Source organism: Homo sapiens, chromosome 5 (assembly GCF_000001405.40).
Source record: "Homo sapiens chromosome 5, GRCh38.p14 Primary Assembly".
Classification (NCBI taxonomy): Eukaryota; Metazoa; Chordata; class Mammalia; order Primates; family Hominidae; genus Homo; species Homo sapiens.
In genome coordinates, this window is record NC_000005.10 from 80,535,928 (window position 1) to 80,549,220 (window position 13,293).

The 13,293-nt window shown below is 38.5% G+C and overlaps 1 protein-coding gene across 9 annotated transcripts in view; it reads left to right on the top strand.

Moving 5' to 3' along the window:
- FAM151B (family with sequence similarity 151 member B) overlaps nucleotides 1-6,636 on the top strand; it is a 54,464-nt gene extending 47,828 nt beyond the window's left edge. For all 9 annotated transcript variants that reach the window (NM_205548.3, XM_011543235.3, XM_011543234.3 and 6 more), the window contains one exon: nucleotides 5,746-6,636. In NM_205548.3, coding sequence (NP_991111.2) covers nucleotides 5,746-5,905 — 160 coding nt within the window. In that variant the 3' untranslated portion in view covers nucleotides 5,906-6,636. The remainder of the gene's footprint in view (nucleotides 1-5,745) is intronic.
- The last annotated feature ends 6,657 nt before the right edge of the window (nucleotides 6,637-13,293 follow it).

A 13,293-nucleotide genomic window follows, 5' to 3' on the forward strand; every position in this document is an offset into this window, starting at 1 on the left:
TTTGAATAGACATTTCTTAAAAAAAGACATACAAATGGCAAACAGGCATATGAAAAGTTGCTCAACATCATTGATTATCAGGGAAATGCAAATCAAAGCTACGATGAGATATCATCACACCCCAATTAAAATGGCTTTTATCCAAAAGACAGGCAGTAAATGCTAGCAAGGATGTGGAGAAAAGGGAACCCTAGTATGCTGTTGGTACGAGGGTTTTAGTTTAGTTTAGTTTAGTTTTGTTTTGTTTTGTTTTGTTTTTTTGAGATGGAGTCTCACTGGGTTGCCCAGGCTGGAGTGCAATGGCGTGATCTCGGCTCACTGCAACCTCCGCCTCCCAGGTTCAAGCGATTCTCCTGCCTCAGCTTCCCAAGTAGCTGGGATCACAGGCGCCCGCCACCAAGTCCAGCTCATTTTTTTTTTGTATTTTTAGTAGAGACGGAGTTTCACCATCCTGGCCAGGCTGGTCTCAAACTCCTGACCTCAGGCTGTCTGCCCACCTTGGCCTCCCAAAGTGCTGGGATTACAGGTGTGAGCCACCGTGCCCAGACAGGTCTTAGTTTTTTGAGGAAAAAACTATACATAGAGCTATCATATGATCCAGCAATCCCACTGCTCGGTATGTAAACAAAAGAAAGGAAATCAGTGTATCGGAGAGATAGCTGTACTTCGATGTTTGTTGCAGCACTATTCACAATAGCCAAGATTTGAAAGCAACCAAAGTGTTCATCAACAGATGAATAGATTAAAGTATATATATTGTACTTACACACAATGGAATATATTCAGCCATAAAAAAGAATGAGATCCTGTCATTTGCAACGACATGGGTGGAACTGGAGATCATTATGTTAAGTGAAATAAGCCAGGCACAGAAAGATAAACATCTCATGTTCTTATTTATTTGTGGGTTCTAAAAATTGGAGCAATTGAACCCATAGAGATAGAGAGGAGGGTGGTTTACCAGAGGCGGGGATAGGTAGTGGTGGTGGGTGTTGGGGGGAGGTGTGAATGGCTAATAAGTATGAAAAAATAGTTTGAATGAATAAGGCCTAATATGTGATAGCACAATGGGGTTCATTTAATTGTACATTTAAAAATAACTAAAAGGGTATAATTGAATTGTTTGTAACACAAAGGATAAATACCCGAGGGGTGGGAACCCTATTTTTCAAGTGATCATTACATAGTACATGCCTACATCAAAACATCTCATGTACCCCATAAATATAAATACCTACTATGTACCCACTAAAATTAAAAGTAAGTGAGCCTCTGCCATTTTCCAATTCCTGTCGCTCCTGGACTAATCAACCTTGCTGATCCCTTCAGCGTTCTGGGTGGGGTGAGAGGAAGAGCAGCATCCCACATGGGGAGTGAAGCTAGGTGCTTACTACACTTTTACTTTTCCTCGTAGGAGAGTACACAGGCCAAGGAGGTCTTTGTTGGCACTGAACTGTGCTGCCTTAGAGGAGGGGTAATGTGGGTAAAGTGAAATGTTTTACCTTCTTCAATGCGTCTATTCTCAGATTTTGTGTGTGTGTACGCTCCAATGTCGTAGCGGAGTCTTTCCACTGGACTCCTGGGTTCCCACAAAGGTACTTTTATCCATGAGTAGTTGTCAAAATCGGTGTTTCAGTGGGGTAGACAAGGGATAAAAACTCCTATTCTGCAGTTTTACTCATGTTACAGGTCTTCCTGTTATAACACATTGGCTATAACTCAGTTATGTACCTGTACTTAGTTACAGGTAAAGCTGGGAAATGTAGATCTTATTTTGTACAACCTTGTGTCTAGTTAGAATTCAGGAGTTTGTTAGAAAGAAAAAGGAGAATGGATATTGGAGTAAAACTACCAGCTTCTGTCATACATTAATAAAACATTATTAATGTTATTTTATTTAAGTTTTTTGTGTGTTACTTTTTGTTTTCTTTTAAAAGTATTTTAAATTTAATTTTTCAAACAAAAAAATTAATTCAAAAACTTAATAGAATAAAGACTTACACTGTGAAAAGGCTTTCTCTCATCTACCCAGTCTTCCTGCCCAATGTCACTAACTACAATTGTTAGTTTCTTTATACATATAAGAGTAAATGTAAATATAGCATCTAATTTCCCTTCCTTTTTACTTTTATTTTTATTTTATTAATTTTTTTTTTTTTGAGGCAGAGTCTCACTCTGTCACCAGGCTGGAGTTCAGTGGCGCGATTTCGGGTCACTGCAACCTCCACCTCCCGGGTTCAAGTGATTCTCCTGCCTCAGCCTCCCAAGTAGCTGGGACTACAGGTGGGCACCACCACATCCAGCTAATTTGTTGTATTTTTAGTGGAGATGGGGTTTCACCATGTTGGCCAGGATGATCTCTATCTCTTGACCTCATGATCCACCTGCTTCGGCCTCCCAAAGTCCTGGGATTACAGGCATGAGCCACCGCACCCAGCCTTTCTTTTTCTTTCTTTCTTTCTTTCTTTCTTTCTTTCTTTCTTTCTTTCTTTCTTTCTTTCTTTCTTTCTTTCTTTCTTTCTCTTTCTTTCTTTCTTTCTTTCTTTCTTTCTTTCTTTCCTTCCTTCCTTCCTTTCTTTTCTTTCTTTCCTTCCTTCCTTCCTTCCTTCCTTCCTTCCTTCCTTCCTTCCTTCCTTCCTTCCTTCCCTCCCTTCCTTTCCTCCTTTCTTTCTTTTCTTTCTTTCTTTCAGATGGAGTCTTGCTCTGTTGCCCAGACTGGAGTGCAGTGGCAGGATCTTGGCTCACTGCAACCTCTGCTTCCTAGGTTCAAGTGATTCTCGTGTCTCAACCTCCCCAGTAGCTGGGATTACAGGCACCCGCCACCATACCCAGCTAATTTTTTTTTATCTTTAGTGGAGACGGGGTTTTGCTACATTGGCCAGGCTGGTCTTGAACGCCTGACCTCAAGTGATCCACCGCCTCGGCCTCCCAAACTGCTGGGATTACAGGCGTGGGCCACCGTGTCTGGTCCCCCTTCTTTTTAAAACAAAAGATGTTATGGTATGTCATACACCTTGCTTCTTGGTTCTGTTCTTTTCTTTGCTTTTTTTTTCTTTTCCTTCCTCTTTTTTTTTTTTTTTTTGACTTAATACATGGTGGAGCTCTTTCTGAAGTAAACTTTCTTGTTTTTCTTTCCTAGGTGTATGATATTTATGTATGTACTATAATTGACTTGCCTCCTTTTGATGGGCATTTGGCATATTTCTAATATTTTATATTACATTGTTTTCGTGAATAACCTTATTGTAAATGTGTTATTTTTCATATGTACAAATATGTCATTTCCAACTCTTAAGATATTTTTGTCTATTTCCTCATCCACCTTCATAGTTTTTCCTTTTTAAATGTTCATGATATGCTATCTGTTGTGTACACATTCATACCTATTTTCTCTTCATTAAGAATTACACCTTTACCATGGTGTTCTTGGTCTTATTTAATGATTTTTTTTAACCTCAATTCCCGTTGTCTTTTTGTTCGCTTTGAATAACTTTGCCTCTTCCTTTATTTGAAAATTAATGGAGTTTTGTTTTTTTACTTTTTGTTTTGTTTTGTTTTGTTCTTGTTTTTGTTTCCTTTTTTGAGATGGAGTCTTACTCTGTAGCCCAAGCTGGAGTGCAGTGGCACTGTCTCAGCTCACTGCAACCTCCACCTCCAAGTCTCAAGCTATTCCTGTACCTCAGCCTCCCGAGTTAATGGGACTACAGGCGTGCGCCACCACACCCAGATAATTTTTTGTATGTTAGTAGAGACTTGGTTTCACCGTGTTACCCAGGGTGGTCTTGAACTCCTGAGCTCAGGCAATCGGCCTGCCTCGGCCTCCCCAAGTGCTGGGATTACAGGCATGAGCCACCGTGCCCTGCCTTTTTTTTTTTTTTAAACTGTCTTTTATAGGAGTGATTTACGATTATTTTTCAAAAGTTTTAAATTTACAGAAAAGTTGCAAAAACTACCACATCTCCTTCACCCAGATTCCCCAATTGTTTCCTGCATTTGTCCATTATTTCTCTATACATATATAATTTTCTATTTATGTTTTTCTGCATGAGCCTCATTATCCCTAAGTACTCCAGAGGATACCGCCCCAAAGAAGGACAGCTTCTGTATCACTGCCATGCAGCCTCCCAGTCAGGAAGTCAGCGTTGATACAACACTACCATACAGTCCACAGACCCCATTCAGATTCTACCAACCATTACAACAATACCCTTTTTCCTCTTCTGATCCAGAAAACTCTCCAAGAACATGCATTGAATTTAGTTATCGTATCTCCTCAGCCTCCTTCACTCTGTGATAGTTCCTGTTTCCTTCTCTGTCATATACTTAACAATCTTAAAGATCATGGAGACTTGAGAGGAGATCGTGGTAGAGCAGTGACACCAAGCTGCTTCCTCAGCTGCTGGCCATGTTTTATTTATTTGTTTTATTACACTGGAGTTTACTTTGTAATAATCTGATAAAATTTATATTTATGTTTTATGTACTTTTTTCTATGTGTTATTTCACAATAAAGAAGGTTAAAAAATGAAGTTTGAGAATTTATATCAATGAATGTTTTTCCATTCATTGATATAAATGTTTTTCCATCCATTTCCTCAGGCCGTTTTTTCCATTTCAGTCTGAATACAATGAAGTGAATATTAAAAAAGGCAAAATAATACTGGGAAGCTCTTCTTTTTACCTAAATGCTCATAACCATGTCTTTTTATAAGGTTTTTCACCATGGTGCCCAGATAAAGTAATAGAGATTCCATTTTAGCAAAAAATATAGGTTTCAGAACTAATTTTCACTTTTCTTTTTCTGTGTCCCTTAGCTGTAGTTTAAAATTCTTTTTGGTTTCTAATATGATACTGCTGTGGGGCAATATCCAAATTACTTTCCTCTGTTGTATTTCCAGAATGGTGTCGCCATCCTTAAGGGCAGGAATGTGTCAATATGACAAGAAAATATGCCTTGGTTAGGCAGTTATTTCTTATCATTAGTAGAAAAAATGCTTTGGAAATTTTCCCTGGATTCTGACAAGCTTATGGGGAATATAAATATGAAACTGCTTAACAGCTTTGCATTTCCCTAGACTTGAATGCAACAGTAGTAGTGTCACCAGAAGAAATAGAAGTGTACAGTTTAAGTAACATTAACATTCTGAGCATATTCTTACATCTATAATGAATTTACATAGGTTATTGGTTTTCAGCTCATCAGAAAAAGATCTAAATGTATTCTATTTGTCATTCTTAGTGAAATCTCTTGGCATTCTTGTATCTCATACAAAAACCTCCAAAAGAAACAGCAGGGCCTCCGTATATGATTCTAAGTATTGTGGATGTCAGTGACATTTGTGTCTCTTCACAATCCCTTCCCATTGTGCTTTTCACCCTGACCAGGCTCCTGAACAAACCCAGGTTACAGATTCCTCCATCAGCAACATAGTCTCTTCGATTCCTTTTTCCAAAATTAGAACCATTTCCCATGCCACTCATCTGGTTTCTTAGTCCATTTAACAGTCCTGCAATTCAGATAGAGCAGTTATGTCGTTTAGACAACAGCAGTATGAATGTTTTTTTGTCTCTAGTCCCTCTTGATGAAAGAATGAAATATGAAAGTACAGTTACACCATTGCTGATTAATTTTTTCATCTGAGTGCATTTGAGTTAGAGATAAATGAAAGCATTTTTAGGCTTATTGGAATGACTCATCGCTTTCTTCCACTTTTAACTGTATAATTCTGTTTTATTTCAATGCAGGTACAGCCTGACTATTTGGACTGGAAAAAATGATAACTATTCCGTTGAAGATTTACTTTACATTAGAGACCATTTTGACAAAAAACAAGTTTTCTATGACATCTTGGAACCACAAAACCATGAATTTAAACAAGCCATTGGAATCAAAGTTAATCTCTAAGAAGAAGATTCTCAATTATTTCCTGTGTTTTGGTTTCATAATCCTTCTCTCCATTGGTCTGAATTAATTACCATATAAATTATGGTTATTGATTGACGTTCCAAGTCATCTAATCAAGAAACGTTTATTGTATGCTTACTCTGTGGGCATATGTCCTTATAATAGTGCACTTACATAAAAGATTTGGAAAGAAGAGATTTATTTACACACGTGGCCTAGTCTAATAATAATTCAGGAAAATGATACTCTGCACCCCTTCATAAAAATAGTTTTGATAAACTAAAGATGATTGGCAGAATCCATATGTCATAAAACAGGTATAAATCACATGTGCTTGGCACTTGCATTACAGAGATTATGAAAAATATGGTACTCTTTTCCTTTTTCCTAGAAAACTGGTTATTTTAGAGATAACAAAAAAGGAAGAGGGCTTTTAAAATGTTTTTAATTTTCACAGGGGTCAGCAGCTGTCTCATATCAAGATCTATTAATCCATTTCCTGAAACTGTAGATTAAATTAGATAGATCTAGAATTTCCATGTGATTGAGAAGCATGCTAGTGGCTAAGTGTTTTTTTTATATTTCTTATTTCTATAGTATCTGATTTATAGTGGACAATATACTGTTGGAGAGCAGTTTTAGTCTTTGTTATGTATCATTTGTTTTCCAAGTTTCTTACTGCCACCACCTTCATTCAGGTCCTTGTTCTACTAGTAAAACTTTATGAACTACTTTTTTCACGGCTCATTCCTCACATTCTACTCAGAGATCTGAGTTTTTCTGCTAAACAAAACTTTCTTTTCTTTTCTTTTTTTATTTATAATAATAATAATTATTATTATTATTTTGAGATGGAGTCTGTCTCTCTCACCCAGGCTGGAGTGCAGTGGCGTGATCTTGGCTCACTGCAGGCTCTGCCTCCCAGGTTCATGCCATTCTCCTGCCTGAGCTTCCTGAGTAGCCGGGACTACAGGCGCCCCCCCACCACGCCCGGCTAATTTTTTATTTTTTTAGTAGAGACGGGGTTTCACTGTGTTAGCCAGGATGGTCTCTATCTCCTGACCACATAATCTGCCCTTCTCAGCCCCCAAAGTGCTGGGATTACAGGCGTGAGCCACCACGCCTGGCTTTTTTTTTTTTTTTTTTTTTTTTTTTTTGAGACAGAGTCTTGCTCTGTTGCCCAGGCTGGAGTGCAGTGGTGTAATCTTGGCTCACTGCAATCTCTGTCTCCCCAGTTCAAGTGATTCTCCTGTCTCAGCCTCCCAAGTAGCTGGGACTACAGGTGTGCGCCACCACACCCAGCTAATGTTTGTATTTTTAATAGAGATGGGGTTTCACCATGTTGGCCAGGCTTGTCTCAAACTCCTGACTTCAGGTGATCCACCCACTTCGGCCTCCCAAAGTGCTGGGATTGCAGGTGTGAGCCACCACACCCAGCCAAAACTTTCTTAAATACCTCTTTCTTTATGCCAAATCAAAAACCTTCAAGGGCTTAAACTCAATTTTACTCAGTTTTCCTCTTTCAAGACCCTTCATAATGCAGTCCCACCTAAAAGTCAGTTTGTTGTGCTCCAGCACGGTTCTTCATTTAAAAAATTTATTCAACATCAATGGTTTCTAGATCCTACTTTAACCATTAATCTTAACTATTTAGTTATTTCACTAATTGACACGTGCATGTTAGCTATGTCTCCTCAGCTAGACTGTAAATTCCTTTATGGCAAAGGTTCATGCTTAAGTATCTTTTACAGTGCCTGGCATAGTCCTGAGAAAAACATCCAGAAAAATATGTTGCTGCTTTGATTTATTAACAAGTAATTTACTAGTGAATGTCCTAAAAGATGTAATTTGCCTTTTGTCAATCAACCATTTTTCTCCCAGAGAATAACATAGTTCTATATAGAGAAAAGATCTTGGGTTTTGAATTCAGACAGATTTTCTTTACAGCCCCACCTCTATCCCTTACTAGCCATAGACTTTGGGAAATCTTTAATGCCATTGACTCCAGGCTCACTTGTCTATAAAGTGGAGGTGGGGGAATAAAATTTCTCTTGTAGGGTTGTTGTGAGGATTATGTGAGATTCATGTAGTAGAGATATCTAGCTCAATGACATAGTGAATGCTCAGCAAAGTTACTCTTCTTTTAGACTTATCCTGTGATCATGTCCATTATAGCTAGATAGCACTAAGAGATACAACATCAAACATTGTAGACATATAAATACTTAAAGACAATTATAGTATTTCCACTTGAAAATTCAGCTCTAGTCAAATGGAATGCTTCTTGTCAAATCATACCTAAAACTTTACTATCCATGGTTGTTTGCCAAAGACAAAAGGTGCAATTTCATTATAAAATTTCAACTGCTATAGAAAATAACTTTTTAAATTATAGTAAATTAATTTATAAATTTTCTACAAAGACCATGCATTACTAAAGACAGGTGAATTTATAAATAAACTGCCTTTTGTTGAAGTTCAAAGTAAAACTCACTTGTCCAGAATATTATTTTTACTACTTAATTGTCCTACCTTTGATAATTTTTTTAAAATATTAATATTATGGTAAAATTATATATTGAGAAATCTATAAGCCTAATATCACTTAGTTTTTTTTTTTTTTTTGAGACAGAGTCTAACTCCGTCACCCAGGCTGGAGTGCAGTGGTACAATCTTGGCTTACTGCAACCTCCACCTCCCAGGTTCAAGTGATTTTCATCCCTCAGCCTCCCAAGTAGCTGGGATTACAGGACTGTGCCATCACACCTGGCTAATTTTTGTATTTTTAGTAGACAGGGTTTTGCCATGTTGGCCAGGCTGGTCTGGATGGAACTCCTGGCCTCATGTGATCTGTCCGCTTTGGCCTCCCAAAGTGCGGGTATTACAGGCGTGAGCCACTGCATGCAGCCTCACTTAGATTAATATTTAAAGGTGTATTTTAAACTGTTCTCAGGAACAAAAACGCATAAGAGAATTATAAAATGTATTCTGTTGGAAAGTAAAATTTTAATAGCTATCCATATGGAAAAAAATAACCTTGATCCCTACCTCATGCCATATACGAATAATTTGAGATGGATCTTAGGCCAAAATGTGAAAGCTAAAACCTTAATGCATTTAGAAGAGAATAAGGGAGAATGTTTTCAGGACTTTGGGGTAGGCATAGGTTTCTTGTAACCCAGAAAACACTAGCCATAAAAGGAAACATTGATAAATAGACTTTATCAAAACTTAAAACTTCTCAGAAAAGACACCATTGACACATATCTGACAGAGGGTATATTACTCCTTTAAACTATAAGAAAAAAACCCAAAAAACTGACTAAAAATGGGCAAAAGACTTGAATAGATACTTCACACAAAAAAAATAATTCAGATGGCCAAAAGAATATGAAAAGGAACTCAACAGTATTCCTTATTCAGGAAAGACAAGTTTAAGCCACAATAAATGCCAGTACATACCCACCAGAGAGGTTAATATTATAAGGACTAAAAACACCTTTTAGGAAAAAAAGGAAAACAGTTTGGCAGTTTCTAATAAAGATAAGTATATCTCTACCTTAAGACCCAGCCACTCTATCTGTAGCCATATACTCAAGAGAAAAGAGCTCATGTATTTACATTAAAAGACTTGTAAAAGAATGTTCATAAAAACTTAATAGCCAAAAACTAGAAACAACCCCAATTTTCATCAGTAAGAGAATTTATAAATAATGGTAGACTCATACAATGAAATTACTACACAGCACTAAAACAGTTTGAACTGATGTAACAATAAAGGTTATTAACAACATCATGCAAAAAAAAAGGCACAAATGAATACATATTCTCTGGATCCATTTATATGAAGTTAAATAATAGTCAAAACTAATACATGGTGCTAGAAGTCAGAATAGTAGTAACCTATACGGTTCTGTCGGGTTTTGTCTGGGATGGAGCATGTTGGAACTTTTTTGGGTGTTGAAAATGTTCTCTATCTTGTTCCGGGAAATGGTTATTTTGATGTGTACATAGGCAAGGCAAAAAACTTATTGAGTTGTCACATTTAATATTTGTGCATTTTACTGTATGTAAATTATATATCCATTTTCAATATATTTTAAAGGCCTTGATGTACAGAAATGCAATAGAATACTATGCAGAAACTTTTTAAAATTTTTTATTTTTTTGATACAGCATCTCGCTCTGTTGCCCAGGCTGGAGTGCAGTGGAATGATCTCGGCTCACTGCAACTTCTACCTCCCAAGTTCAAGCAATTCTTCTGCCTCAGCCTCCCAAGTAGCTGGGATTACAGGCATGTGCCACCATGGCCAGCTAATTTTTTTGACTTTTGATAGAGATGGGATTTCACCATGTTGGCCAGGCTGATCTCACACTCCCGACCTCAGGTGATCTGCCCACCTTGGCCTCCCAAAGTGCTGGGATTACAGGCATGAGCCACTGTACCTGGCCCAACCTTTATTAATGTGGGAAGATGTTACAGCATACTGCAGGTTGTAAAAGAGCATATATATGGCCAGGCATGGTGGCTCACACCTGTAATCCCAGCACTTTGGGAGGCTGAAGTGGGCAGATCACAAGGTCAGGGAGTTCAAGGCCAGCCTGGTCATCATAGTGAAACCCCGTCTCTACTAAAAATACAAAAAATTAGCCAGGCATGGTGGCGGGTGCCTGTAATCCCAGCTGCCCAGGAGGCTGAGGCAGGAGAACCGCTTGAACCCAGGAGGCAGAGGTTGCAGTGAGTGGAGATCACGCCACTGCACTGCAGCCTGGGCGACAGTGTGAGACTCGGTCTCAAAAAAATATATATATATAGATAGATTTAAAGATATATATCTTTGTATGTGTAGAAAATTTTTGCAAAGAAGTTCAAATGCACAACATAATAGTTAAGTGCCACCTATTTTTTCCCTCTAAGTTGATGTCTAATATAGTGGTGTTGAGATCACATATCATCCAAAGGCTATTTCTCAAGAGTGGTAGAGTAATCCTAATTCCAGAAGAGACTTTAATAAGAAAATCAATTGTTCAAAAATTCAAAGGCTTCTAATAAAGGGTAGCTTATTGTCCTGTAAGAGTGGTATAATTTGTTAATTAGCCAGGTATGTACTTATCCAGTGGGAAATGATTAAAAGTAATTTGGAACAGTTTGTAATTTGCTTGTTTGTTGGAGTTGGGGTCATGGGTTGTTGTTGTTTTTCTGTAATTACAAAGAAAATTAAGTACCTAGTCAATATATAGACAAATGCTGTATCTCCGACCTTGTTATTTAGGGCAAGATCCAAGGGAGCTCCCAGACCTCAGCAGCAAGAGCTCGGGCTCCAGTGTCCTAGTGTTTCACATCAGTGCCACTGTTACTTTTCATAGTAATTACCTCTTTATACCCATCAGCTTTTGGTCTGGGGAACCAGCTTGTCCAGCCACCTGTATCTTTCATGAGGGAATCTCATGTCAAGACGTCACAGCTCAGTAGGAACTTGGGGGGCAGATGGGGAGAGAAGGGGCAGGCATCTAAGCAATGTCTGATGTGCTCAGGCTGCGTGAATAATTCCAAAATTGTCCCTATATGATTCAGAAATGGAGCTTACAGTAATCTAGTCATGGGAGAGAGACCCGTAAGTGATAAGTTGAATATTTGCTAAAACTCCTATGATGGAATAACACATGGCTTGCGGTATAGTCCCCAAAGAGACAGCAGTCTATTTTAACTGGGAGGGAACACGAGCTGTGTCTTAAAAGATGAGTAAGATTCACTGGGTAGACTGACAGGGGAAGGACCTTTCAGACCCAGGCACCTGAGCCAAGTGGGAAAGAGCCTGATCGACCTGCTCAGAAATGTTTTTTGGGGCATCATACTGTGAGACAGAACCAGATTTATTTTCTGTAGTGAAGAGTTGGCTTCTTTTCTCTGAGGGAGTGGGAGTTATTGTACTACTTTAAGTAGGGAAGCATTATTATCAGTTTTGAATGTTAGAAAAGTGATTATGATGGTGAGAAGGAGGAAATCAATTGGGAGATTTGGAGTCCTCAAAGTGAAAGAAGATGAAGGCCTGAATTAAGGTGACACCAAAAGGGGATGGAGAGGCTCAAGAAATAAAGGTTATGGCTGGGCGCGGTGGCTCACGCCTGAAATCCCAGCACTTTGGGAGGCCGAGGCGGGTGGATCACGAGGTCAGGAGTTCAAAACCAGCCTGGCCAGCATGGTGAAACCCCATCTCTACTAAAAATACAAAAATTAGCCGGGCATGGTGGCGCATGCCTGTAGTCCCAGCTACTCAGGAGGCTGAGGCAGAAGAATCGCTTGAACCCGGGAGGCAGAGATTGCAGTGAGCTGAGATTGCACCACTGCACTCCAGCCTGGGCGACAGAGTGAGACTCCATCTTAAAAAAAAAAAAAGAAAAGAAAAAAGAAGAAAAGGTTAAAAACGGAGAATTTGTAGTTGAATGAGTAGTATGGGGGAGAGGGAGGAGTCTAGTATTTTTAGATTGGGTGACAGAGTGTCAGGTAATACCACTGACCCCATCAGGATGGAAAGGAGCCAGGTGTGGCTATATTTCTCAGTGGCTCATTGATATTACTTCATACCAACTTGGAAAGAAAAATGAAAATCCTATCTGCCTGACCCTGAACTCACTCTAAGATACTTTTTTTTTGTATTTAATCCTGCCAGTTTCTTTTTATTATTATTTTTTATTTTTATAGGTTTTGGGGGAATAGGTGGCATTTGGTTACATGAGTAAGTTCTTTAGTGGTGATTTGTGAGATTTTGGTGCACCTATCTCCCGAGCAGTGTACACTGAACCCAATTTGTAGTCTTTTATCCCTCACCCCTTTCCCACCTTTTCCCCAAGTCCCCAAAGTCTATTGTATTATTCTTATGCCTTTGCATCCTCATAGCTTAGCTCCCACTTATAAGTGAGAACATACGATGTTTGGTTTTCCATTCCTGAGTTACTTCACTTAGACTAATAGTTTCCAATCCCTTCCAGGTTGCTGTGAATGCCATTAATTCACATTCCTTTTTATGGCTGAGTAGTATTTCTCATACACACACACACACACACACACATATATATATATATATATATATATATATATATATATATATAGTTTCTTTATTATGCACTAATTGATCGGTGGGCTTCTGGGTCGGTTCCACATTTTTGCAATTGCGAATTGTGCTGCTATAAACATGCATGTGCAAGTGTCTTTTTTGTATAATGACTTCTTTTCCTCTGGGTAGATACCCAGTAGTGGGATTACTGGATCAAATGGTAGTTCTACTTTTAGTTCTTTAAGAACTCTCCACACTGTTTTCCACAGTGATTGTACTAGTTTACATTCCCACCAGCAGTGTGGAAGTGTTCTCTTTTCACTGCAGCAACGC